Source organism: Homo sapiens, chromosome 1 (genome assembly GCF_000001405.40).
Source record: "Homo sapiens chromosome 1, GRCh38.p14 Primary Assembly".
Lineage (NCBI taxonomy): Eukaryota > Metazoa > Chordata > Mammalia > Primates > Hominidae > Homo > Homo sapiens.
Genome location: NC_000001.11, coordinates 2,033,801 through 2,060,221, shown reverse-complemented (window position 1 = coordinate 2,060,221; position 26,421 = coordinate 2,033,801). Strand labels below are relative to the sequence as shown.

The 26,421-nt window shown below is 58.7% G+C and overlaps 1 protein-coding gene and 2 long non-coding RNA genes across 15 annotated transcripts in view, besides 6 other annotated features; 2 read left to right on the top strand and 1 right to left on the bottom strand.

Annotated features, from left to right (window-relative positions):
- The window catches only part of PRKCZ (protein kinase C zeta), a 136,892-nt gene extending 125,174 nt beyond the window's left edge, over positions 1-11,718 (bottom strand). For 8 of the 11 annotated variants that reach the window (XR_007061965.1, XR_007061966.1, XM_017001790.2 and 5 more), the window contains exons 1-4: positions 9,521-9,811; positions 4,660-4,781; positions 3,649-3,738; positions 631-681 (exon numbers count right to left, since the gene is read on the bottom strand). Coding sequence is in view for 9 of the 11 variants with exons in the window: in XM_017001790.2 (XP_016857279.1) it covers positions 631-681; positions 3,649-3,738; positions 4,660-4,781; positions 9,521-9,591 (334 nt within the window). In the remaining 2 variants the exon portion in view is untranslated. Of the gene's footprint in view, positions 1-630; positions 682-3,648; positions 3,739-4,659; positions 4,782-9,209; positions 9,467-9,520; positions 9,812-11,546 lie in introns of those variants that run through there. The other 3 variants (XM_047425262.1, XM_047425260.1, XM_047425255.1) reach the window with 2 other exon arrangements.
- Positions 9,624-10,233: a silencer, noted in NCBI's record as "silent region_103". NCBI's record gives its function as "represses an Ori minimal core promoter by ATAC-STARR-seq in GM12878 lymphoblastoid cells {active_cell/tissue: GM12878}" and the evidence as "EXISTENCE:reporter gene assay evidence [ECO:0000049][PMID:35858748]".
- PRKCZ-DT (PRKCZ divergent transcript) lies at positions 10,152-11,021 on the top strand. Its single transcript, NR_135509.1, has 3 exons — positions 10,152-10,354; positions 10,556-10,624; positions 10,754-11,021. It is a non-coding gene; the product is annotated as a PRKCZ divergent transcript (long non-coding RNA).
- Positions 12,169-12,922: an enhancer, noted in NCBI's record as "H3K27ac-H3K4me1 hESC enhancer chr1:1978739-1979492 (GRCh37/hg19 assembly coordinates)". NCBI's record gives its function as "activates a minimal SCP1, AML or CMV promoter by ChIP-STARR-seq in naive H9 embryonic stem cells {active_cell/tissue: H9 hESC(naive)}" and the evidence as "EXISTENCE:reporter gene assay evidence [ECO:0000049][PMID:30033119]".
- Positions 12,775-24,456, top strand: LOC105378590 (uncharacterized). 3 transcript variants are annotated; one of them, XR_001737845.3, is made up of 4 exons: positions 12,775-13,028; positions 22,651-22,750; positions 23,079-23,174; positions 23,462-24,456. It is a non-coding gene; the product is annotated as an uncharacterized LOC105378590 (long non-coding RNA). The 3 variants fall into 3 exon arrangements; XR_007065357.1 differs by having other exon boundaries at positions 23,079-23,787; positions 23,996-24,456; XR_007065356.1 differs by having other exon boundaries at positions 23,079-24,456.
- Positions 12,923-13,676: an enhancer, noted in NCBI's record as "H3K4me1 hESC enhancer chr1:1977985-1978738 (GRCh37/hg19 assembly coordinates)". NCBI's record gives its function as "activates a minimal SCP1, AML or CMV promoter by ChIP-STARR-seq in naive H9 embryonic stem cells {active_cell/tissue: H9 hESC(naive)}" and the evidence as "EXISTENCE:reporter gene assay evidence [ECO:0000049][PMID:30033119]".
- Positions 15,153-15,232: a silencer, noted in NCBI's record as "silent region_102". NCBI's record gives its function as "represses an Ori minimal core promoter by ATAC-STARR-seq in GM12878 lymphoblastoid cells {active_cell/tissue: GM12878}" and the evidence as "EXISTENCE:reporter gene assay evidence [ECO:0000049][PMID:35858748]".
- Positions 15,293-15,342: a silencer, noted in NCBI's record as "silent region_101". NCBI's record gives its function as "represses an Ori minimal core promoter by ATAC-STARR-seq in GM12878 lymphoblastoid cells {active_cell/tissue: GM12878}" and the evidence as "EXISTENCE:reporter gene assay evidence [ECO:0000049][PMID:35858748]".
- Positions 16,412-17,041: an enhancer, noted in NCBI's record as "H3K4me1 hESC enhancer chr1:1974620-1975249 (GRCh37/hg19 assembly coordinates)". NCBI's record gives its function as "activates a minimal SCP1, AML or CMV promoter by ChIP-STARR-seq in naive H9 embryonic stem cells {active_cell/tissue: H9 hESC(naive)}" and the evidence as "EXISTENCE:reporter gene assay evidence [ECO:0000049][PMID:30033119]".
- Positions 24,457-26,421: the final 1,965 nt, after the last annotated feature.

Genomic DNA, 26,421 nt, shown 5'->3' with positions numbered 1-26,421 from the left:
CACACAACGAACAAGGCATGGCACGGATGCTGGAGGCCGTGTGGGGTCTGGAGAGTGGGGGTGGAACCCCACCAAGCACAGCCATGGGATGCGCGGCCCGAGAGCAGCGTAGCCACCTGCTCAGGGCCCAACAGTCTCCGGGATGCAGTAGGAAGTGAGGTCAGAAGCTTCCCTCTGAAGCCACAGCCCCCGGGACTCACTCTCCTTCCTCTCCCAACAATGGAGCCAGTGTGGGATGAACGGAGCCCCCACACCAGCTCAGGGGCCAGCAGGGACCAGGAGGAGCAGACGACTGGCCTAGGGGTGGTCGTGAGCTGAGGCAGCCACAAAGGAGCAGTGTCCAGCCTCCCACCTGGCCCCTCCCTCCTAGGGAGACGGCAGGGCACCCCTGGACTTCTCATGCTACCAACCAGCCAAGCGAGTCCCCCGCCATGTGGTGCTGTCAGCCAGAACACGCACAGGCAGCAGCTGCAGTGAAAACCCCACCTGCGGTCACCACGGCTGCTCCTGCCCTGACGCTCCACGAGGGTGAACCTCCGAAAACGGCACCACTGCCACCTCCGTGGCACAACGGATCAACAGTTCAACCCCGTAACATGCGAGACCGGCGTAGGAAACCCCAGTACTCACTGTCTTCTCCCGGACATGGCAGGCCAGGCTGCTCAGGGGTGCTCGGGAAAACTGGACAAGAGAGAGAAAGAGACAGCGTCAAGACCCTGCGGCTGCCACTCAACAGTCTCACGGAGGAAGTCCCGCCTCAGTCAGGCTGAGCACGTGGACTTCACGCAAGGCGCACGTGGCACTGCCAATGAGAGCCCGCTCCTGGGAGACGCAAAACCCCGTGCGTCTACGTAGGCCAGGCTCCGACTTTAAAACCCACGGAAAAACTTAGAGTAAAAGGCAATCAGAGGGACCTGGACAGCAAAGCCATCAGAGGAAGCTACTGATTTGTATTTTTAAACTATATAAAAATGGGAAAGAAATGCAATTACTTTGAACACTGACTTTTAAAAGCACTTTAGATTCCACTTCTTCATACTCAAGACAGAGTTCAAAATTATTTTAACATATATCCTGGGCTTCCACAATAAATTATTAAAATAGGTGCTTAGAAAGTATTAAAACTTGGCTGGACATGATGGCTCACGCCTGCAATCCCAGCACTTTGGGAGGCCGAGATGAGAGGATGGCTTCAGGCCAGGAGTTCAAGACCAGCCTGGCCAACATGACGAAACCCCATCTCTACTTTTTTATGTGTGTGTGTATACACATAAAAGTATTGAAACTTTAAAAAAACAAACATTTTTTGTTTTTTGTTGGTTTTTTTCAGATGGAGTCTCACTCTGTGCCCAGGCTGGAGCTCAGTGGCACAATCTCAGCTCACTGCAACCTCCACCTCTCGGGTTCCAGCAGTTCTCCTGCCTCAGCCTCCCAAGTAGCTGGGATTACAAGTGTACACCACCACGCCCGGCTAATTTTTGTATTTATAGTAGAGATGGGGTTTCACCATGTTGGTCAGGCTGGTCTTGAACTCCTGACCTCAAGTGATCCACCTGCCTCGGCCTCCCAAAGTGCTGGGATTACAAGTGTGTGCCACTGAACCCAGCCCTATTTTTCTTTTATCTAGAAAACAATGTGAATTTTTAAGCCACTGTATCTTTCCACATAGAGAGGCAAAATGTGCTTACTATCACAACCACAATAAAAAGGACTAGATTAGGCACATCTATGAATTTATTTATCTGACACAGGGTTTCGCCCCATCACTCAGGCTAGAGTGCAGTGGAATAATCACAGTTCACTGTAGCCTCTACCTCCTGTGCTCAAGGAATCCTCCCACCTCAGCCTCCCGAGTAACTGGGACTACAGGTGCACCACCACGTCTGAATATCAAAAAAAAAAAAAAAAAAAAAAATTGGGGCCGGGCACCGTGGCTCACGCCTGTAATCCCAACACTTCAGGAAGCTGAGGCAGGCAGATCACCTAAGGTCAGGAGTTTGAGAACAGCCTGGCCAACATGGCGAGACCCCATCTCTACTAAAAATACAAAAATTAGGCCGGGCACCGTGGCTCACGCCTGTAATCCCAGCACTTTGGGAGGCTGAGGCGGGTGGATCACGAGGTCAGGAGATCGAGACCATCTTGGCTAACATGGTGAAACTCCGTCTCTACTAAAAATACAAAACATTAGCCAGGCGTGATGACACATGCCTGTAGTCCCAGCTACTTGGGAGGGTGAGGCAGAAGAATTGCTTGAACCCGGGAGGCGGAGGTTGCATTGAGCTGAGATCGCGTCACTGCACTCCAGCCTGGGCGACAGAGCGAGACTCCAACTAAAAAAAAAAAAAAATTAGCCAAGTGTGGTGGCACATGCCTGTAGTCCCAGCTACTCGGGAGGCTGAGGCAGGACAATCGCTTATATCTGGGAGGTGGAGGTTGCAGTGAACAGAGATAGTGCCACTGCACTCCAGCCTGGGGACAGAGCCAGACTCTGTCTCAAAAAAATAAAACAAGTTTTGGAGAGGGGGGGGTCTCACTATGTTGCCCAGGTTGGTCTTGAACTCCTAGGCTGAAGCGATCCTCCCACCTTGACCTCCCAAAGTGCTGGGATTACAGTTGTGAGCCACCGCACCCGGCCTAGTCTTTAAATTTAGAGCCTCATTGATATAAAGGGCGAAGAAAATTAAGTGTTGTAACCAGGTAGCCCGGTGTCCAGGAGAATGATGGATCTGTCAGAAATCCATGGGTGGTTTCGAGCTTTGGTCCCATCTTGGACTCAATCGTCCATGGCCAGACGCCTGGCAAGGAGCCCAAGCTACGCCAGAAGTGGACACAGAGACAAAGACGTGACCGGCTGGCCACAGCGCTGGAACCACATTCCCAGGCCCCAGACGCCCTGCAGACCCCCAGCAGTACCGGGGAGGAGCCCACGCCCACCTAAAGACAAAGTGGAAATGATCACAATCACATCTCCCATGCGTCAGCTCATCATGGGGCTTTGAACTTAAAGCTGAGGACAGCTGTGAGCCTGGAGCCGGGCCTAGGGAGCACCGGGCAGGTGAGGTGGCTGGTGGGGCTGTCCCCTCTGTCCACATGCGCCGCGGGCCCTACGCTGGCCACTGGAGCCTCTGAGTGGTTTACGGGTTCTTTGTTAAGAGCAGTTTTCATTTGGGTTAATAAAATGTCAAAGAAAAGGCCGGGCGCGGTGGCTCACATCTGTAATCCCAGCACTTTGGGAGGCTGAGGCAGGCAGATCACGAGGTCAGGAGACTGAGACCATCCTGGCTAACACGGTGAAACCCCGTCTCTACAAAAAATACAAAAAATTAGCCGGGCGTGGTGGCGGGCGCCTGTAGTCCCAGCTACTCGGGAGGCTGAGGCAGGAGAATGGCATGAACCCAGGAGGCGGAGCTTGCAGTGAGCTGAGATTGTGCCACTGCACTCCAGCCTGGGCAACAGAGCAAGACTCCGTCTCAAAAAAAAAAAAAAAAAGTCAAAGAAAAAAACCCAAATGGCATTATATTAGACATCCCTAAATTCTCTGGCATCATAGGATTTTAAACCATTTTAAATCCCCCAGCTAGTCGGCAGACACCCACAGCCAGGAACAGCCCCCCAGAGCTGCCCACCACAGACCCCGCCACTAACCATGAATGATGAGGCCTTCATCCCTGCACTGACGGGCCAGGCGGAAAGCCTCTTCCAGCTCCATCTGGGAGGACACCGTGCAAGGGTCACCTGGGTGGGGCAGGAGACGGTGCTGACGTCGCCGAAGGCCCGAGGCAAAGGGGGCTGTGACGAGCCCGCTCAGCACACCAGACAAGGGTCTGGTGGGGGGCAAAGTCCCGATGCTCAGACTGGCCACCTCCTGGCAGGGTCGGGAGGTCCAAGGACGGCCGTCCACACTAGGGAGTCACCTGGCCCCCGGTGCAGCGTCAGAGCCACCCCGGAAGGGAAGTCAGTACACCTGCAGCCCTGGGCACCACTTGGAGGGCTAAGCAGTGAGCGGGGCTGAGGACACTCTCCGGAGGTCAGTCCTGGGCGGAGGGAGAGCTCCTTGCCCTCTATGGCTGGAAAGGGACATGGAGGTGTACAGAACCCAGGCCCTGCAGGGCTGTACCCAACCCAACGGGGGCGCTATCAGGCTCCACCCGCACGGCCGTGTCCTTGGCCAAGAGCTGCCCGCCAGTCCCTGGGAGAAAGGGGTCTCTCTGGACGTCTCCCAATCCCCTTGTTTTTCAGGATGTGTCTAAGAGACAGGAGGTGGACACGGCAGGCCCTGGCTGCTTGTGCCCTCCCCGTGGTCCCTAGAATATGAAGAGCCCATCCTTTCAGAAGCACCTACCGAAAAAGGCCAGGACATGAGAAAGGAGGTCAGAGGAAGAGGTGAGGACCTGCCCAGGGTGGGGCAGGGAGACCCCCTGCAGGCAGTTCAAGACCAGAGCCCTTCCTAGGGGCATCTGGGCCCAGGTCCTTGATAAGCATCTGTGGCCAACCTCTTTCCCACCATCCCCACTGGGGAAAAGTTGGCGCCAACAAGTTTAATTCCACAGCTTTAAGTCTCCCCACAGAATTGGCTGAGCACACTCCGCACACAGAGGCTGCCCTGGCGAAGTCCCCTGAGGCTGAGGATTCTGGCCAACATGGGACAAGGGCTACCTTCGCTGTCCACCCACTTGAGGGTGAGCGGGTGCTGCTGGTGCAGACGACACATGTCTCTCACTTCCTCACAGAGCTCCTCGAAGGTCGTGGCGGCGTCCACGCTGGTGATGAAGATGTCCCTGGGGCAGAGGGGACATGGGCATCTGTTACCGTGGGGCATATTTGAATCAAATTAAAAAATGATTACCAACTAACCAAATCATTGATTAGATAAATGAAACTTTCCCCAAAGACAATATGACAGCCCCACCCCCTCCCCCCTCCCACACACAAAATAGAACCATTAACCATAACCATAGTTTAAAAAATGGCCACCATTGCCAAGCACAGTGCCTGACACCTGTCATCCCAGCACTTTGGGAGGCCGAGGCGGGTGGATCACGAGGTCAGGAGATCGAGACCATCCTGGCTAACACGGTGAAACCCCGTCTCTACTAAAAATACAAAAAATTAGCCAGGCGCGGTGGCGGGCGCCTGTAGTCCCAGCTACTCGGGAGGCTGAGGCAAGAGAATGGCGTGAACCCGGGAGGCGGAGCTTGCAGCGAGCCGAGATCGCGCCACTGCAGTCCAGCCTGGGCGACAGAGAGAGACTCCGTATTAAAAAAAAAAAAAAAAAAATGACCACCATCAACTTCCTTGCACAGAGAAAAAAGCGCGACCTACCTGGCTGGAAAGAATGAGGACAAAATGGGAGAAAAGAAAGTGCCCTCTTGTGGGAGGTCCGGCAACGTTACCTGGTCGGGCACTCGTTCAAGTTCACCCAAATGTGGGTGACCCCGGGATGGGCGCGAGCCGGGTCGGTGCAGGCCGCCGGCTTCACTAAGGTAAAGGAAACCAGTCAGACCTGCCCCCAGACCTCGACGGTGCCAGCGGTGAAGTGGCGGGGATTAAATAATTCCATAATGAAAGGCCACTCTTTAGACCCCGGAGTGGGCACTGGGTCCGTTGCTGCAGCCACGGCAGAAGCCCCGGCAGATTTTTTTTTTTTTAAAACCGAGTCACACAGAGTCAGTGTGTTTTATCTTTTCAGCCCCAGACAGGACCTGAACTCCAGGGGCTGGGGAAGCTCACGGACTCCCAGGCACCCTTTGAAGGCTGGCACTTCCCTGCTGATAGGGACCCGAGGTCCCCCCTCACCTCCTGCACTGAGCAAGAGCTGGTCTCACCCTGCGTGGAGGGGAGGGACCACCACAGGGCCCAGCTGGTGTTTCCTGAAACTCAGAGCGGGAATCACACCCTTGTGAACACACTGAATTTTCAGAAAAATCTACGGCTTTCTGACACCCACAAGAGCGCGGGGCAAGAGCACAGGGCCTATAAAAAGAAGCCTGAAGGGGTGTGAGATGTCCCAACCAGAGATACAGGCTCTGCTCTTCGCTGACACTGCTGGCTCCCCATCAAGGTTATCTGAATTCATCAGACAAGTTTCAAGAAACAAAGTTCTCATCCCAGACAAGAACTCCAGTGCAAACAGAACACAGGATCGGTCCACAGCCGCGGCCCTGACACAGCAGCCCAGGGCCCACCTGCCCCACAGGCCTCACCCAGTCACCCTGGGCCACCTGGGCCTGGGGGACAGACGCCCCAGCTACCCACCCCTTCCTGCTGGAACTGGCCACCCAGCACCTGCCCCCAGTGCCCAAGCACCCCACAGGAACCAACCTGGCTGGTCTTCGCCACAGCCCACAGCATCATGGCAGATTAGGAAAGTAAGGAATGGAGGGGGGTCACACACCCATCACCCTGGGGTCGCCCCAAGCTGACATCCACGCCTGCTGCCTGACCTGGAGTCCAAAAGTCTGACCACCAGGAACTCCAGAGTGGGAGTCGGCCATCACTTCACCTTTGACCTCTTCCTGCCCCACGCCCCTACCCCTACAGTCCTGCCTCCAGTGGAAGCCAGTTTCCGGCCAATCTAGAGGCCAGGTGGGTGGCTCCAGTAAAACCCCAGGGCTTGGGAAGTGTCAGGCCACCACCTCCAACCCTATCCCAATCCTGAATCAAACAGCTGCCCTGTGCCCTTCAGCAGGGGCGTCCAGGACTCAGCACCCAGCAGCCAGCTGGGCCGCCCGGGAGAGACTCCTGCGTCTCTGTTGGCCTCAGCACCAAGCCCTGGGCTTTGCACACAGAAGCTCCCTGAACACAAACGTTGTCTGAGCTGGGCCAGGCGCGGTGACTCACGCCTTTCATCCCAGCGCTTTGGGAGGCCAAGGCGGGCGGATCACGAGGTCAGAAGTTCGAGACCAGCCTGGCCAACAAAGTGAAACCTCATCTCTACTAAAACTACAAAAGTTAACCGGGCGTGGTGGCGGGCGTCTGTAGTCCTAGATACTAGGGAGGCTGAAGCAGGAGAATTGCTTGAACCTCGGAGGTGAAGGATACAGTGGGCCGAGACCACACCACTGCAGCCTGGGCAACACAGCGAGACTCAAAAAAAAAAAAAAGTCTGAGCTGAAAGAGGGAAGAGCCAGCACCAGTGTTTGTGGCCCTAGAAGAGCGGGCATCTGAGACTCAGCGTGGGAGTCTGGCCCAGGCCACCTGGGACTCCCTGAAAACACAGGTGCCTGGGGACCCCTCAGGCCCACAGGGGGCGGGGTGGGGTGGCGAGGATTGGATCTCAAGTGTGCTCAGAGGGCCCTGGGAGGACAGGCAAGGATGACGGGGTGGCCATGCCCCATGGGGGTGACTGAAGTGCTCTTCCTTTTTCTAAAGACTAGTCTTCCACGTGTCCACGCTCAGCTACCCCCACGGACAGCAGCGTCTCACCCCAGGGACAGAGTTTCTAGGGCTTTCAATAACCCAGTACTCATCCTGGCAGCCGCTTTCTGGAACTGTGTCATTGCCCTAAGGCCTGAGTGTCCCACCCCACAGCCAGTCCCCTCAGAGAGGCACCGGGTGCCCAGAGGGACGAGGAGCCAGAACGGGGAGAAGGGTACTTCACACTCTGCAGCAGAGAGGAGGAGGACCTGGGAGGGGAGAGAGGAGAGAAGGAATGGTAGGAGCAGGGAAGAGCCAGAGGGGAGACGTGCCCTAGAAGGGGGAGGAAGGTGAAGGAAGAGGTGTGGCAGGGAAGGGAGAGAGGGGAGAGCGGGAAGAGGAGGGAAAACAACAGGGAAGGAGGGAGGAAGAGGAAGGGGTGGGGAGAGAGGGGAGAGAGTCCGGGAAGGGAGGGAAGAGGAAGGGGTGGGAGCCTGGTCTCTCCAGCCTGGGAAACCAGAGTCACCGGGTGGAATTACACCCGCCCCACCACCAAAGTGCTCCCAGGGGCCAAAGCAAGGCAGAGGGAGGACGGGGCGGCCCAGAACTCCAGTGGCATTGCCTCCGAGCCTTGGTCCCAGGAATTGGACGCCGGAATGCAGGAGGGTCTGGGCCCCTGCAGCCCCTCGGGTGTGGACCTCCCTCTCGCAGGACTCCCCTGAGCTCCGCACCATCACCTGTTGCCCAGTGTGGTGGCTCCAGAATGGCAAGGAGACAGGAAGCCCAGGTCCCTGGACAAGTCCAATAGCCAGAACGTCAACCATACCAAGTTTTAACCTGCTGACCTCCAGGCCAAAAGACATGGCTGCCCTACCTCTTCAGGTAGGGCTGGACGGTCAGTCCCCCAGAAATCCCTTTCTTCTGGTTCTGGCACCAAACCCGGGCCACTGCACCCCGAAGGTTCCAGGTGCTTGCCACAGGGGAGCTGCAGAGGCCCCAACCTTCCCAAAGAAGAGACAATTGAGCCTCCTCAACAAACCCGGGGCCAAGCAGCCCCAGATGGCTGACCCGAGACCCCAAGACAAGGTTCGCAGGAAGCTGAACCCGCTCAGACTCGCAGGGCACCATAGAGACCCCCGGGGCACTGTCCTGAGAGGACGTGGCCCGGGGAAGTTGTCACCCGCCTAACCCTGCCGGCCGTCCCTGCCTCTGGGGCTCAGGTTGCCCACGCTGTAGCTGAGGACGCACCGGGGCAGGAGCAGCTTTTCGAGATCCCAAGGACCAGCCAGTGCAAGTCCGGAGCCCGCATTCTGCTCCCCTCCCTCTCTGCAGCAGCAGCCACCCTCGCGGGAGCGGAGGTCCCAGTTCGGGGCTCCTGGAGACGCGCACAGGTGGAAGAACAAACCCACGGGTCCTCCCCTCCCCACCGCCCACACTTCGGGGGGCAGCGACCCCTCCGCTGTGCCTGTGAGCCCGGCCACCTGGTGCAGCCCCCGCCACCCCCAGCAGCGCTGCCCCGAGGCGGCGGCCAAGAGTCCAGGACCCCTCCGCTCCAGCACCTGACCGCGCCCCCTCCCACAGCCAGGCAAGGGCCTCCGGGGGGCGGGTGCGACGCAAACCCCAGGGTCAGTCTCGGCCCCACCGTCTCCTCCAGAAACCCCTGTCCCCGCCCGACCGCCCCGAGCCCTGCCGGGGGCTGCATTGGAGCCACAGCGCCCGCGCCCCGGGTCTCCGGATTTTGGCTAAAGCGAGACCCCCGACCGGGTAAACGTGGAGAACGTTTAGGAAACGCTGATTTTAAGAAACCCGCCAGGAGTTTTCACAACTTGATGAAAACTTTCAGTCCTTACAGGTTTGCGGCCGGAACGTCCCCGCCCAACTTTCCAGCGAAAACGTCTACCACAATGACCGGGCCGAGGAGCTCGCGGCGCGGGGCCGACCCCAGGGAAACCCGGTCCCGGGGAAGGAGCCCGCGCTGTCCACGACGTGTCCGCGGGTGACGCTCACGGGCGGGGACCGAGGACCTCCCGCGACAGCCCCGGGCCCGCAGCGACCTCGCCGCCCCTTCCCTCTCTCCCTCTCGCGCAGGAGCCCCGACGGCTGAGCCCTCCCCGCCCTCCCTGCCTCACCCGCGCCGCTCCCCGCCCTCTCCGCCGCTCACCCCCCGTAATGCGCCTTGAGGCGGACGCGGCCGCCGCTCCCTTCCATCTTGGGGCCGGTCCTGCTGGGCATGGCGCGCTCCCCCCGCCGCCGTCAGCGCTGCGCCCCGGGAGCTCCGGCCATGGCGCGGGGCGGGGGCTCCAGGTGGGGCCGCGGCGGAACGCGGAAGGCAGCGCTCAGGACCGACGGCGCCGACCCGGTCAACTCCGCGGAACTCCGGCGGCGCGCGGGGCGGGAGCGGGGGGCGCGCGGGGCGGGACCGTCCGGCGGGGGCGGGGGGCGGTGTCCGAACATGGCGGACCGAGGTGGAGCCAGCGGCCAATCCGCGGGGCGGGCGGTCCCGGGGCGGGCGGTGGCACCTGCGGCCAATGAGGGCGAGGCGGGGCCGCCACCTGGGCCAATCCTCGGGGGACACCCGGCCGCGGCCCAATGGCGAGGCGCGGGCGGGGCTACCTGTCGGGCGGGGCTACCTGTTGGGCGGGGCGCGGCGCACCTGCGCCAATGGGACCGCGCGCGGCGCGGCTCTGCCCGGCAACCGGAGGGGCCCCGGCCTCTGGGACGGAGCGGCGCCCCCGGGAACTCGCTGGAAACGCGAGTTCTCGGCCTTCGCCCAGACCCTCCGAATCGAAACTCCTGCGGCGCGCGCTGCCAGCCCGAGGGCCCCGCCGTCCAGGGGTCCCCTGACATCTCACACTTGCGGACTGAAGCTGCGAGGAGCGGAGAACCCGGCCAGGGTCACGGACGGGAGCGTCCGGACTCGGGTTCTCTGGGCCCCAGCCCCCACTCCGCCCCCAGCGAATCCAAGGTCCCCTGTAGGGAAGGGCCGTCCACACTCGTGAGTGCAACCGCTCACTTCGCCCAGGTCAAGGACGCGGCATTGGCCCGAGTCGCCCATGACCTTCATTTCTGAAGCCACAGCCTCTCGGGCCTTACTCGAGGGGCTTGATCTGGACAATCGCCCTCCAGGCCCCTCCACCGCCGCCCAGCTCCCTGCCTCCTGGGCTCCTCCCCTGAAAATACGGTTTTCCCTGATCAGCCCATCCCTTACTGGCTGCATCCACTGAAGCCCAGACCTGCTGCCTGCAGGACCTCACCCAGGCACCAGGTGGACACCCAGACCCAGTTCCTGGCCTCGGCCCCTCTCCCCTGAGAGTGGACCTGCTCAGGCCACGCCCTCACACCCCTCACCCAGACACAGCCACCAGGACTTCAGCCACGTGCTTTCATCCCGCAGGTCGTGCCTGGCGCCTCCTTGATGCCAGGCCCTGGGGAGACCTGTGGCCACAGAACCCATGTTCTCCCTGGAGATGGACAGGAGGCCCCTCTCCTACGCAGAAGCTGTCGTTTTTTCTTCTTAAACACCGTTTGCCCCTCCCTCCACCCACCGAGCCATCTCTGCCCCTCTCTACAGCAAAGCTTCCGCCAAGCCGGCCCTGCTCCCTGTCTACCTCTCCTGCCACCACCCACTCACACGTTTTAAATACAAGCCGTCGGTTCTCAGACGTTTTCTCTTTTTTTCTTTCTTTTTCTTTTTTTTGAGATGGAGTTTCGCTCTTGCTGCCCAGGCTGAGTGCAATGGCATGATGTCGGCTCACTGCAACTTCTGCCTCCTGGGTTCAAACCATTCTCCTGCCTCAGTCTCCCAAGTAGCTGGGATTACAGGTGTCCACCACCATGCCCAGCTGATTTTTGTATTTTTAGTAGAGACGGGGTTTTTCCATATTGGCCAGGCTGGTCTCGAACTCCTGACCTCAGGTGATCCACCTGCCTTGGCTTCCCAAAGTGCTGGGATTACAGGCGTGAGCCACTGTGCCCGGCCTCAGACATTTTCTTAACTTGGCCTTTGGTATCAGACCCCTCCTGGGAAGGCTCACACATCCCTGGCCCCGGGTTCCAGCTCCCTAAATCTCCCATCCCTCGCCCTCCTGGTCTGCAGCTTTTAAAACTGTGGAGCCCCAGCCTCAGCCTTTGGCCCGCTTTGCATCCCCAGCTCAGATGGGCCCCCTGAGCTCCCAACCAACACTCACCCAGCCCCAGGCATCCTCCTAATGAGCCTCTCAGCTGACGTCTTCCCCCACTCCATCTTTCTGGGTCATCGAAGTCCCCCCAGTGGTTCCCATCACTCCTGGAGGGAAGGCCAGCTCCTCTGCCCCGGCCTCGAGGCCTCTTTGCTGCCCCGGCCTCCGTCTTTGCACGGCCACTCCCTCTTTGCACAGCCACTCCCTCTTCCAGGAGCACCTGCCTGCAGAGATCTGCTGGACTGGCACCCACACTTCCTTGAAGTCTCTAGCATACCTAATGCCCATTTCAGCAATCTACTCCTCACCCCCATCTCCATGGGGCAACCCCCTCTATCCCTCGCACAGGCACAAAGCCCCATGCCCATCAGCTGGGCATGAAGGGGGGCAGAGAGTAGAGGGTGAGGGGGCAGCCTGGCAGGGTACAGTGATGAGTGGGAACCTGCACCTGCAGCAGCCCTGGATTCAGGCACCCGTCGGCCCAGCTCCCCCACTCCAGGCCCCATGGCCAGGGCTGTGGCCTTGTCTGGAGTCTGGCCTGGCAACATGGCCTGGGCGCTTCCTGATGGGCAGGAAAGAGCAGGGTTTCACCTTAGTGGGGCGGTGCCTGGAAGGGGCCACTGGGCACCCACAGGACTTCCTGGCTGGCGTTCTGATCCAAGGAGGCAGCAAGGCCCGGTCCTTGATACCACTGCCCACAGCAGGCAGGACGGACCCTCGGTTGTGTCCTTCCCTGTCACTGGACATCTCTCCCTGGGCCTGCCCCACCCAAGGCCCCGGAGGACCCTTTCTAACCAAGGACGCCCCTGCTGGGTCAGGCCCTCGGCACTGGCCTCCCTGGGGAGATCTGTGCTGCCAGGCGGGAGCCTCCGTCCTGGAAGCCAGTCCCAGGGCCGTGGCAGTGCCCCAGTCCCAGCGAGGGAAGGTGGGGGGCGGGGCTCTATTCTCTCTGGGGTTGGGAGGGAGAGGGCAACGTCAGTGGATGGTCAACCCCAGTGTCAGACTTTGTTCAGCCCTGATGCCGCCGGTGGAGGGGGGGTCGGGACAGACACAGGTTCCGAAAGGCTCTAGCAGAGGACTGCGGGCACAGGGGCTGCCCAAAACGTCCCCAAAACCTCCCCCAGTACCTGCTCTGGCCTCCCCTCCAGGAGGCAGAGGTCTCCGCTAATGAGATCTGCAAAACAAAGGCCTGGGAGGCCCTGGACCCGCCTCTGGGCAGGCAGGGCAGGTCACAGGGAGGTTCCTAGGTCCTCTGCCCTGAGCCTGTGCCCCTGAGAGGGCCCTGAGGGCAGAGGGCGCTTCCTGAGACACGGATAGGCTCACTGGCTGGCGGTGGTGTCACTGTGTCGCCCGGCGACAGATACAGGGTGTTTGCTCTGGAATCTGCCAACGACTCCCATCCAGATCCCGGCTGAGGGCTGGGCCCTGTTAGGCCGGGTCCCCACAGCTTCTCCAGGCACCTGGCACACGGGGAATGAGTGAGTGACTCGGGTAAGGACCCCTCAAGAGTGCTGGAGCCAGGCAGCCTCCTAAGACCCCTAGTGGGTGGGGACAGAGTCATGTCCCATCGAGCCCAGCACACCGAGAAGGCACAGCCCTGGAAGCTTCCAAGGACTCACCCTGGGTCCTCCGGGGCGGGTGGGGTGTGGAGGTGACCCTTGGAGTGGGCAGGGCAGGCTCCGAGAGAGGCCTCTGGGTGGCTAAAGGCCAGGCTTTTCCACCTCAGCAGTTTCTGTAGCTCCCAAATTTTTCATAAAGTTCTCATATACTTTCATAATCATAAACACCTATTATTTTTTAAATGAAAAAAACAAGTTATGAAAGTCACACTGACTTTTTATAAAACTCAAGCAACACAGAACGGTATAGGGCAAGGTGAAGCCTTTTCCCAAAACCCCAGCTAAGCAGCAAGAACCCCGGCCGTGAAGCGGACAGCCTTCCCTCTCCCAGTGCAGGCAGCCTTCCCTCTCCCGGTGCCTGGGACCGCAGGTGGAGGTGCTAGGTGACCGCTGGGGCTTGGGGTAGGGTGCTGACCGGCAGAGGGCAGTGTGGCTGCAGGGTCTGGCTGAGGGTGGCCTCCCAGCAGGGCTGGGGCACCTGGGAGCCGCAGCTCCTGACCCCGCCAAGGTGGCTCTGTGTGGCTGCCGGGCCTACCCTGTGATTTTCCTTAGGAAGAGTCCTTTGATGATACTGTCGAGTGATGTTGAGACCTTTTAGAAGAGAGGCAGTTTACACTCAGTGTGATTCATCGGACGTCTGGGAGGGGTTGGCTGTGGCCCGTGGGGTCCCCATCACCACACCCCCAGGAGGAGGCCTCCCTCATCAGCCTCTTAAACTGCATTTGTGCTGGCTTAGTGCTTGGGACTGCCCAGAAAGGTGCCCGACAGGAGCAGGCATCTCACAGAGCCCAAGGGGCCCGGGTGGGTCTTCCTGCCAGATGTGAGGCTGCCCTGTGGGGTCCTGCGAGGACCACCGTCACAGGAAGGGCCAGGCGTTTGCTCACAGGCTCTGGGCACAGCAGCCGTGGGAGGGACTGGCCAGATGTTTCCTTTCTGTGTCAGGGATCATGGGATTTGGAAAAACTGGCTCAAGAGACAATGTCAGCTGCATGGGTTCATTTGATGGACGTTGGTTGAGGGCCTACTGGACGGAGGGCCAGGAGTTGAGCCAGGAATACAGCAGTGAGCTGGCCAGGCGGGGTCTCCTGGTGGGACGCTGCTGGAGACGGGCCACTGTCAGAGAACCACAGGAGTGCAGAATGGCTGAGACGGGCTGACCAGGTCCCCGGGGGAGAGGCTGGCCCCGGGACTGATGATGTGTGCAGTGGGGCAGCTCTGTGGCCCCAGGGAGCAAGGGCTCTGTGAGTGAAGGGTGCAGGGAGTGTGAAGAGGCCAGGCTGCCCCAGCGAGGAGGGTCAGGGGAGCCTCAGACAGGGTGTGGGGTGTGAGTGCCTGTGTGCTTATCTGAGTCTATATGTGTTTGTGTCTGTGTGTATTGTGTGAATGCATACATGTGTCTGTGTATGTGTGTCCACGTGTGTGTATAGATATGTCTGTGCTTGTGTGTCTGTGTTGACGTATGTGTGTCTATGCATGCATAGATGTCTGTGCGTGTGTCTTTTTTTCCTGCTTTTTTTTTTTTTTTAGGCAGGGTGTCACTGTGTCACCCAGGCTGGAGTGCAGTGGTGCCATATCTCGGCTCGCTGCAGCCTGGACCTCCTGGGCTCAGGTGATCCTCCCACCTCAGCCTCTTGAGTAGCTGGGACCACGGGCCCGTACCACCGCGCCCAGCTAATTTTTGTATTTTTTTGTAGACATGGACTACGTTTCCCAGGCTGACCTTAAAACTCCTGGGCTCAAGCCATCCTGGTGCCTCAGCCTCCCAAAGTGCAGAGATTACAGGCATGAGCCACCGGCCCAGCCTGCGTGCCTTTCTGTGCCCACGTGTCTGTGTGTGCCCGCCTCTGTGTGCATGTGCCGGCGCACGTGTGTCTGTCGCTAACTGCCTCCACGCGCCCGTGTGCCCCTCACTCCACAGCCGCCCTCCAGCGCCCGAGCTTCTGGGTACCATTCCTCCGGCGGCGTTTCAGGCCTGGCACTTCCCTGCTGGCTGTCCTGGCCTCGGGGAGCTGCGCGGGTCCCGGGCTGCTGGCGGCCGCGCGCAATGCGGAGCTTGCCCAGGAGGGGGCGCAGGAGGGACGCGCGGGGAGACGGGGCTCGGGCTGGCGGCGCGTGGGGGCCCGGGGAGCTCGTCCCGCACGTGGGTCCCTCGGCGACCGCGCAGCGCCGGCCCTGCCCGCTCTGGCTCCGGGGCCTCCGGGCCTCCCGCCCCACCCCGGGGCGCTTCCTGCTTGGCGCGGCTGCCCCCTTTTCAGCCCCGCCTCGGAGTCCATCCTTCCGGGCCGCCCTCAGCCCCGGGGGCCGCGTGTCCTTCCCCTTGCAGCCCCCCTCGTCGCAGCTCAGCAATCCTGTTTTTAAGTCGTCCCCGCTTAAAATCTGCGGATTGGGCCGGGCGCGGTGGCTCACGCCTGCATTCCCAGCACTTGGGAAGACCGAGGCGGGCGCATCGCTTGAGGCCTGGAGTTGGAGACAAGCCTGGGCAACATGGTGAAACCCCGTCTCTACAACAAGTTTAAGAATTAGCTGGGTGCGGTGGTGTGTGCTTGTGGTCCCAGCTGCTCAGGAGGCTGAGGTGAGAGGATCACCTGAGCCCAGGAGGTGGAGGCTGCAGTGAGCTGAGATGTGGCACCACTGCACTCTAGCCTGGGCGACAGAGTGAAGCCCAGCCTCTAAAAAAATAATAATAATAACTTAAAAATTAAATATTCAGATGGGACCTCACGAATGCAGTCTCTGCATATATGTGTGTAGTTCTCCACAGGTACCCATGTGTGGGGGGCCGTGTGTATGTGTGTGTGTGTGTGTGTGTATAGCTTTCTGTGTGTATCTGTGTGTGTGTCTGTAGTTCTGTGTGTACCTGTGTGTGTTTGTAGTTCTGTGTGTACCTGTGTGTGTGTGTAGCTCTGTGTACCTGTGTGTGTGTGGAGCTCTCTGTGTGTACCTGTGTGTGTGTCTGTAGTTCTGTGTGTACCAGTGTGTGGAGCTCTCTGTGTGTACCTGTGTGTAACTCTCTATGTGTACCTGTGTGTCTGTAGCTCTGTGTGTACCTGTGTGTGTGTGGAGCTCTCTGAGTGTGTGTGTGTGCGCGCGCACATACTGTCAGAGGGGCTGGGCACTGCCACTCCCAGCAGAGCCAACACAGTGAGGAGGAGGTGGGGTTGCTGTGTCCAGGGTCTGGAGAGGCCAGGGGAGGAAAGAGGAGGCTGGCCTGGAAGATAGAGCAGCTGGGAGGGCACCCAGGGGAGGCAGGGAAGGGCTGGACACTGCCAGGCTGAGCTCTGCACACAGCTTCCCTGGCTGAGTCTCACCAGAAGGCACAGCCTCCCTTCAGGCCCCCACCCCGCTCAATGGTGCCTTCCCCTGGAGGACCGTCTGTGTCCGACATCGCCTCTGGGACCCTCAGCCCATCCCTAGGACGTGAGAATCATGACCCTATTCTGTGGATGAGACACCAGGGCCGGGGTCGCTCCATGCCTGGTCCAGGGACACACACCAGCAGGGGGCAGGGCCTGGGCAGGGCAGGGATGGGGCGGGACCCCAGGGTCCAGACCACTGGGGAACACGCCGCGCGTCCCCTTCTCTGGACTGGACACGCCCTCAGAGTGGAGAACCTCTCCCGAGACCTGTGCGGGGACACAGCGCCAGGGCCCAAGACCAACCGGTCAGCACCGCGGACACGCCCTGCCACTCCTGCACTGCAGACGGGCCCTGCCACTCCTGCGCTGCGGGGTCCAACAGTTGCTGCTGGGTGGTGGGCCCCCACCTCCACCGCCCTCGGCTCCCTGGGGTTATTTCAGACGCGGCGCGAGGCTGGTGCGTCTGAGGAGGCAGCACCAGAACCACGGTCACCATGGCAATGCTGGGAACTGTTCATGGGACTGCTCCACACGCTATTTTAGCCTCGTGAAAACAGACAAAATCTCGGTTCACTCAAACCATCACGGGGAGATGCTGAAGCAGGGGCCAGGAAAGGCCTCTGAACCCTCCCCTGAGCTCCTCCCCGTCCTGCCACTCCCGTCCACACCAGGCTGGAGGACCTGTCAGCCAAGGTCCCTGTGAGCCCCGCCCTCCCCAGTTGTCTTTGCCTTTTATTCAAAGACTGAGTGCCAGGGCCCCTGGAGCCCTGAGGCCTGGTGTTTATGAACCGCTCAAAGGCCAGACTGCCCTGGGAAGACACAGCCAAGGGCTCGTCCTTTGGATCTCCCGGCCTGGCAAGGATGTGAGAGAAGGGGACTCGGATGCCACCCACCGTGGGAGCTGCGTCTGGGACCATCTTCTTTTTTTTTTTTTTTTTTTTTTTGAGATGGAGTCTCGCTCTGTCGCCCAGGCTGGAGTGCAGTGGGGCGATCTCGGCTCACTGCAAGCTCCGCCTCCCGGGTTCATGCCATTCTCCTGTCTCAGCCTCCCGAGTAGCTGGGACTACAGGCGCCCGCCACCACACCCAGCTAATTTTTTGTATTTTTAGTAGAGACGGGGTTTCACCATGTTAGCCAGGATGGTCTCGATCTCCTGATCTTGTGATCTGCCCGCGTCAGCCTCCCAAAGTGCTGGGATTACAGGCGTGAGCCACCGTGCCCGGCCCTGGGACCGTCTTCTAGAAAGCAGGCTGACAGAAGGCACTCAGAGCCTCAAAGATGTCCACGTCATCTGGTCTCACAGCTTCACTTCTGGGATCTATCTCAAGGAAAGACGTGGAAATGCAAGCACCACTGTGAACCAGAAGCCTTCCTCCACATCAGCTGCCAGGGCCAAGGTGGGGGGCTGTGGCCAGCAGCAGAATGGGGTCCACTGTGAACTCTGCTTGGCTGGTGGCTCTGTGGCCTTTGAGATTGAGAGTCTCACATACACACACACACAAACACACACACACACGCAGATGGCACACATCCACACACATGCAGATGGCACACATGCACACATGCAGACACAGCATACACGCACACACCCACACACAGGCACACTTATGCACACGCCCACACACATGCACACACAGCATGCATGCACACACATGCACACACACAGCACACACATGCACAGACAGCATGCATGCACACGTGCAGGCACACACTGTAGTGCTCCCCAGGCAAAAGCAGCTCTGCTAGGACAGAAGGAGCCATGCCCCCTCCCAGGTGGCACTGGCCCCAACAAGCCAGCAGCTGGATGGACAGGGCCCTGCCCAGCAGGGAGGCTCCAGACCCAAGTCCTTGCAGCTGCACCGTGTACCAGCGTCTCTGTCTTTGGAAAGTGTCCCAGCCCCTTGTGCAGGGAGCAGACCCCGGGGACCTTGTCACCAGGTCAGGAGTGCCCTGCAGGGGCAATGGGGTGGGGCTCTCCTGGTGCAGAGGCTTCTGCTGACCAGGGCGTGGACTGGCCTGGGGGGCGCTAGGGGAAGCTCCCTAATGCAGGGCTGAGGATGTAGGGGGGTATCTGAGCCAGCTAGACTGGAACCCTTCCCACTCTGTGGTCAGGAGCTCGTCCCCTCACTTTGCTGGGCCTCGGGCTCCTCCTGTGTGAGGTGGGAACTGTACCACAAGTGGGTGGGGGCGATTCACGGGCTCGAGCTGTCAGACCCAACGCCCGGCTTGTTGCAACACTGTCTCAGCGTGGCAGAGCTGTGTTTGCTCGTGGCCGAGCTGTGTCCTTGTGGATCTTCTGACCTGAGCATCGCTTGGATACCCAGGGTGTATCTGCTACCACTGGGTCCCAGGCCCACTTGGGGCTGTGAGCCGGCTCCAGCCAGCCCAGTCTCTGCTTCACGGCTGGGAAAGTGGGGAACCCCAAGGCCAGAACAAGTCCCACGGGATCCAGTTCAGGCCCCCAGCAGGGCAGTCCTCAGCCCTTCCCAGGGACGCTTGGGGTGGGGAGCATGGTTAGAGGCCATGGAACTGGGAGGGGAAGAGAGTGTCGCCGTTTACCTCTCCTCCATCTCTTATCCCTTCTCGAGCCCCCATGTACCAGGCAGCAGGAAAAGCAATAGCTCAAGTCATCTGAACCCAACATTCGAATGAGTGCTTAAGTTCTCCTCAGTCTTCGGCAGTCGCTAATCTGTCTTATGTCCCCCACGAGATGACAGCTGGGTGTGGAGGGAAAGGGGCTCCTGTGAAGTCAAAGACGAGGCTTGCGGGGCTCCTCAGATCCCAAAGTGCCCCAGACCCTCGCTGTGCCTGGCTATAGAGTGGCTGCCCTGAGGCTTGCTAGGTGAGGTTGGGCAGCTGGGATGTGGGCATTCTGTTTGCACCCACAGCTGACATTGTCGTGGAGGAACTGTCTAGAGCTGTGAAGGACCTGAGCTTGGACAAATTAGCTGGCCCCAGTCTCACAGATGCTGTCAGAAGACACAAGACTCCTGGGTCAGAGACAAAAGATTTTTGTTTTGTTTTGTTCTATTTTGAGACAGAGTCTTGCTCTGTCGCCCAGGCTGGAGTGCAGTGGTGTGATCTCGGCTCACTGCAAGCTCTGCCTCCCGGGTTCACACCATTCTCCCACCTAAACCTCCCGAGTAGCTGGGACTACAGGCGGCCGCCACCATGCCCGGCTAATTTTTTATTTTTAGTAGAGACAGAGTTTCACTGTGTTAGCCAGGATGGTCTCGATCTCCTAACCTCATGATCCGCCCACCTCAGCCTCCCAAAGAGCTAGGATTACAGGCGTGAGCCACCACACCTGGCCTCCATTTCAGAGTTTTAAGCAATTCTCCAGCCTCAGCCTCCTGAGTAGCTGGGATTACAGGCGCATGCCACTATACCTGCCTAATTTTTGTATTTTTAGTAGAGACAGGGTTTCGCCATGTTGGCCAGGCTGGTCTCAAACTCCTGACCTCAGGTGATCCACCTGCCTCGGCCTCCCAAAGTGCGGGGATTACAGGCATGAGCCAGTGTGCCCGGCCAGAAACAAAAGATTTGATCTGGTGACAGCAAGTGCCCGACCAGGCCCCTTGCCCCCAACTTGCCATTCAGCTCCTTGGCCTCGGTGGAGCCCCCAGCTTCTCTCCTAGGGTGTCTCCCTCAGCCTCAGTGGATGCAAGCCAGCCACTCTAGAAGCTCAAGATGGCAGACCAGACAACCCACCCCGTGTGGCCACAGTGGCCAGTGAAGTTACTGAGTGTCGGGAGCCAGCAGGAGTCCTCTTCCTCCACCCTGCGCCTGCCTCCTCCTTCCAACTCTCCCGGGCCTGGAGAGGTGGGTTTTCCCCATTTCTTAGGTCAAATCCTTCTCTGCAGGGCAGAAAGCCTGATTCACAGCACGCTGAGGAGCAGGCCGATGACCGAATCTCCTCTGATCGCCCTGGGGGTGTAGTAACTGGGAGCTGAGAGAGGTTAGGAAGTGGGGTTTCACTGCAACCTCCACCTCCTGGGTTCAAGTGATTCTCGTGCCTCAGCCTCTGGAGTAGCTGGGATTACAGGTGCCTGCCACCATACCTAGCTAATTTTTGTATTTTCAGTAGATACAGTGTTTCATTATGTTGGCCAGGCTGGTCTCAAACTCCTGACCTCAGGTGATCCCCCCGCCTCAGCTTCCAAAGTGTTGGGATTACAGACTTGAGCCACCGCGCCCAGCCAGTGAGGGAATTTTTAACACAATAGTCCAGATTGCAAGGCTATTGTCTTGCTACAAATCCTATTTCCAGTGTCTAAACCTAAATAGTAACGAGTGTTCTTTTTGCATTTCTTCTCTGACAAGGCTAATCTCCGCCCAAGCCAGGCAGACGGCTGCCTTGGACTAACTAATAAAAGCAAATGACTGAGCCGTAGGACTGCCAGGCACTGGCCTAGCTGCGTCTGGCTAATGATACCTGTTGAGGTTCAAAATAACCCAGTAAGGGGAGGATCGTCCCCGTCCCCATTTAAGGGATGAAGATGTTGGGGCTCAGGGGGGTAAATGCCTTGCCCAGGGTTACATATCCGGTCGGCATAGCTGGCTCACTTCAGAGCCCGCACTCCTAGTCACTGACACCAGAGAAGCCCCGTACTCAGCAAGGCAAGAGAGAAAAGCGCATTCATTTCCCCCAAAATGGTTAGGTTTATTTTGTGGGAAATCCCCGGCTCTTGGCCGTAGATGTTTTTGGTGGCCTGGGCCATATGCCCTCTGCTTGCCTGTAGTTTCAGAGCAGCCGGGATGGGCCGTTGCCAGGCAAGTCTCATCCGAAAGGTCCTCCTGTCTCTGCGGCTGTTCTGCCTTGGGACTTTCTCTGACTCCACAGCAAACTGCTCAGCCCAAGTGCAGGGCAGCCTGAAAGGTGGGGAGTTCTCCCCAGGGACACACCTCAGGCAACGGGGCTGGGAATTGGCTCCTCCACGCCCCAGCATCCTGTGCTTAGAAGGACAACTCTGAGGTGCATTCCTGTGGCTCCTCAGAAGGTCCCAGGGACTTGGGGACAGTAGAGCTGACCCCCAATGCAGCTTCTGCAATAACACAGGCGTTTCCTCCTCCCTGTCTCACCCCACCTCTAACTCCTACCTCCTGGGATCACCTCCCTAAATAACTACATGCACTGAAGTCTCATATCAGGCTCTCCTTTGGGGATCACCCAAGCTAAGACGGTTGGTCCTGGAGGTGGCCAATTCCAGGGTGGGGTTGTGGCATTGAGTCTCTCACCAGGACAGTGACAACGAGGTGGAAGGTGGGGAGCTGAAAGCCAGCCTGCAGAGCCCTCACCAGGGCTGCGTCTGGAAGCAACTATGGCTTCGGGGAATGCTGCAGAAGCCAGAAAGTTCTCTACGGTGGCATTGAAAGAAACCCTCTTCTCCTATAGCGAGAAAGCAGACGGTGCTGAAAATCAGGCCCAATAGCTGAGCAGAAGAGCGACAGATCCCAGAGAAGACCTCTGTGCAGCCATGGAGGTCGGCTATGCCAAGCACAGGGCCCTGGCAGGGAAGGCATCAGAACTGAGGCCTGGTTTGGGGTCATTGTGGGTGAATTCACCTGTGAATACTGTGCTCCCAAATTCCACCTCACTTGTTAGAGGACAGCAGAGGAGGCTTCTGTCTGGAGTCCCTGAAAATATCTCATCTGGGGCACTTATCTTGCAAGATGATGGTTGTATCAGTTTCCTGGGGCTGCCATGACAAATGGCCACAAACTGGGTGACTTCAGGCAACAGAAATGTATCATCTCATGGCTCTGGAGGCCCGAAGTCCAAAACCAAGGTGTGGGCAGTGCTGGTGTTTCTGCGGCTGTGTGGGAAGGTCTGTCTCAGGCCTCTACCCTGGTGCTGGCAATCCTTGGCTTGTAGGCATGTCACCTCGATCTCTGTCTGTCCCCACCCAGCCCTCTTCCCCCTGCCTCTGTGTTCTCCTCCTCTAGAGGGACACAGTGTTCGGATTTAGGGCTCACCCTAATCTAATAGGACTCCATCTAACTTACGTCTTCAAAGGCCCTATTTCCAAGTAAGGTCCCACTCACAGGTGCCAGGGGCTAGGACTTCAGTGTCTCCTGGGGGACATTACTCGTGACACTTGTCCCCTTCAGGGTCTGCCCTGCCTTCTCTCCCTGCAGCCAGGATGAAAGCTGGAGCCTCTGCACGGTCCAAGCAGGGAGGCGATGGCTCGCGTCACAGTCCAAGCAGCCAGGCGACGGTCCTGGCTGACGGGCTCTGGTGAGAATGGGCGGTCGCGGCTGGGATGGTGTGGAGGATGCTAGATCAGGGGGGACATGGAAGCACCCATTTATGATGGTGGATTTCACGTCCCAGCAAGGCAGAGCTAGTCTTGATTCACTTGGAGGAGTGTGAGGAAGGGGTCTGCCGTGGGCTGAATGTCTCTGTTGCCCCAAAATTCCTAAGTTGAAATCCTGCCCCCAGGGGTGATGGTATTAGGAGGTGGGGCCTCTGGGAGGTGATGAGGTGAGGGGGGTGGAGCCTCCTGGTGGGATTAGTGCCCCTGTAAGAGGCCTGAGAAGGCTTTGTCCGCTTTCTGCCACATAAGGACACAACGAGAAGTTGGCGTCTACACCCGGAAGAGGGCCCTCATCAGGCCCCAACACGCCGGCACCCTCATCTCAGACCTGTGGCCTCCAAAACAGTGAGAAATCAACCCTGCTGTTGATCAGCCACGCGTCTATGGCAGCCAAACAGACTCAGGCAGGGTCTGGGGCCTGGGGGTGGGTTTAATGTTTATTTATTGATTTATTTATTTTTAATTTTTTTTTGAGACAGGTCTCATTCTATTGCCCAGGCTGAGTGCAGTGGTGCAGTCACAGCTCACTACAGCCTTGAATTCCTGGGCTCAAGCAATCCTCCCACCTCAGCCTCCCAAGTAGCTGGGACCACAGGTGCACACCACCACACCTGGCTATTTTTCTTTTGCAGAGATGGGGTTTCCTTATGTCTCCTGGGCTGGTGTTGAAGTCCTGAGCTCAAGAAATCCTCCCATCTCAACCTCCCAAAGTGCTGGGCAGTGCCCAGCTGAGCGGGTGGGTCCACTGGATGAGACCACAGGGACTACCACCTGCCTCGGTCCCAGGAGGGCCCGGAGGACACAGCCATAGTGGAGCGGCCAGCATGGTGCTAGCACAAAGCAGAGCTGCTGAGAAGCTCCTGGAGAGCTGAGCTGCGTGGACGATGTTAGCAGGAGGAAGTGCTGCCCCGGGTCCTGCCATGGGAGCCGTGTGGCTGCGCCAACCGCTGGAGGCAAGGTGGGTGTCGGTGCAGCAATGGGGGCAGCCGGGGTGCCTGACCCTCACGATCTGTGGCTCATAGGCCACCATGTCCCTGGAGTGGGCGATGAACAACCAACTGAGGTAGGCACTGGACTTGAATAACCAGAAATAAACAAGCACCGGGAGGAGAAGGCTGGGACCTGCAGGCACAGTGGGAAACTGTGACTCCTGCTCTCATTTCCAGAACTCAACCATGACCATTGGTTGGAGGAGAGCCTTGGTCTCCTCGGAGAAGGGCCCTGCAGCACCACACACAGGTGTGATGGACCCCACACAGGTGGGATGAACCCCACACAGGCGTGATGGACCGCGCAGGCATGATGGACTGCGTGCAGGTGTGATGGACCACACAGGTGTGATGGACCGCGTGCAGGTGTGATGAAGACTCCCCCAGAGCCACTGTGGCTGCATCTTCAGAGTAGCTCTGTCCTGGAGAAAGGACGCCCGCAACAGGAAGGGCTTTGGGATCTCGGGTCTGATGCCACCCAGGGACCCAACATGTCATGGCAGCCCCCAGTCAGCATGGGGGCCTGGGGATGCCAAGTGACCGATGGGGTCCCCCCAGTCAGCGTGGGGGCCTGGGGATGCCAAGTGACCGATGGGGTCCCCCCAGTCAGCGTGGGGGCCTGGGGATGCCAAGTGACCGATGGGGTCCCGGCCTGTGGCCATCCAGTGGGTTTATGGACCCAACCTATGGTGACGCCCTGGTCTGCAGGTCCATGGCAGGTTGCAGGCCCTGAGCAGCTGCCAGGATCCTCTGTTTCCCTGACCTGTGGAGTGAGGACCACCATGGTGGAGAAGGCAAAGCCAGAGCCTCTGAAACCACCCTCAACCCCGGCAAGGACAGAGGCTTGGAAGTCAGGCTCCCTCTGGAGCCCCCCAGCTGGTGGGCTGTGGGCACAGGCGGGGGTCACCACACCTGGTTAGCACAAGAGAGCACTTGTAGGGCCAGGGAGGAGAATGCCTGGAGCTCAGAGGATTCACCCCTGTGGCTTCCATGCCGGGGGCACAGAGTGGGCGATGACACTGACATCCACCTGACAAGCCGGTGACCGAGGCTCACTCCTCGGATGGGGTCTGGGTCGCCGCATCAGATGTAACCTCTGCCAGCAGGACTGCGGGCCAGGGTGGAGGAGGAGGAGGGCCTCCTGCCGTGGAGATGCCTGCAGACTGGCTCGTCACCAGCCCCCTACGACTTCCATGGCTGTCTCTCTTGCTTTGGCTGCCACCACCTTGAAGAATCAGCCGCAGACAAGCTTAACATGGCATCCGCCGGAACAGATGCAAGCAGTGCCAGGGCTCCCAGCTGCTCTGGGGCCTGGGCTGCGCCCTTCGGGCTACATCTGGTTTAAGCAGCAGCTGTGGGGGCGGATAAAACTCACTCATGGCCGGGTGCGGTGGCTCACGCCTGTAATCCCAGCACTTTGGGAGGCCGAGGCGGGCAGATCATGAGGTCAGGAGATTGACACCTTCTTGGCCACCATAGTGAAACCCCGTCTCTACTAAAATACAAAAATTAGCCATGCATGGTGGCCCGTGACTGTAATCCCAGCTACTTGGGAGGCTGAGGCAGGGGAATCACTTGAACCCGGGAGGTGGAGGTTGCAGTGACCTGAGATCGCACCACTGCACTCCAGCCTGGCAACAGAGCAAGGCTCCGTCTCAAAAAACAAACAAACAAATAAACAAAAACTCGCTCATGGCCGAGCACGGTGGCTCATGCCTATAATCCTAGCACTTTTGGAGACCAAGGCGGGCAGATCATGAGGTCAAGAGATCAAGACCATCCTGGCCAATGTGGTGAAACCCCGTCTCTACTAAAAATATAAAAATTAGCTGGGTGTGGTGGCACGTGCCTGTAGTCCCAGCTACTTGGGAGGCTGAGGCAGGAGAATCACTTGAACCCAGGAGGCAGAGGTTGCAGTGAGCTGAGATCACGCCACTGCACTCCAGCCTGGGCAACAGAGCAAGACTCCATCTCAAAAAAAAACAAAAAACAAAAAACAAAAAAAAACTCACTCACGGTCAGTGCCGCCTCTAGTGCCCTCCATAGCGCTACAGGGCGCTTGCCCAGCTTGCTTGCAGGACTGACCTGGGGGATGTGAGCTGGGTGGGGGTTGGTGGATAAATGCGCAGCCCCTCATTCTTCAAAAGGACAATTCAGGCTGGGCAGGGTGGCTCACGTCTGTAACCCCAGTGCTTTCGGAGGCTGAGGCAGGAGGATCGTTTGAGCCCCAGGAGTTCGAGACCAGCCTGGGCAACATATTGAGACCCTATCTATACTAAAAATTTTGTTTTAAATTAAAAAAGAAATTTAAAAGGACAATATGGAGGCACATTCCCCTTGGCTCTGGGCAGAGGGTCGCCAGTGGGGTTGGGACCTGGCCGTCCCAGATTGTAAAGCCCATTCCTGTTTTTCCTCCTTCCTCATCCCTCCCTGCTCCCTGCTCTAGCTCCTGCCTCTGTGGATCACCCTCTCTATGGAGCCAAATGGCTCCCAAAGTCACTCGGGACCTCAGAATGTTGACCTTGTTTCAAATTAGGGTCTTTGAAGATGCAGTTAAGACAAGGCCGCACTGAAGTAGGGTGGACCCTAAATCCGACGGCAGG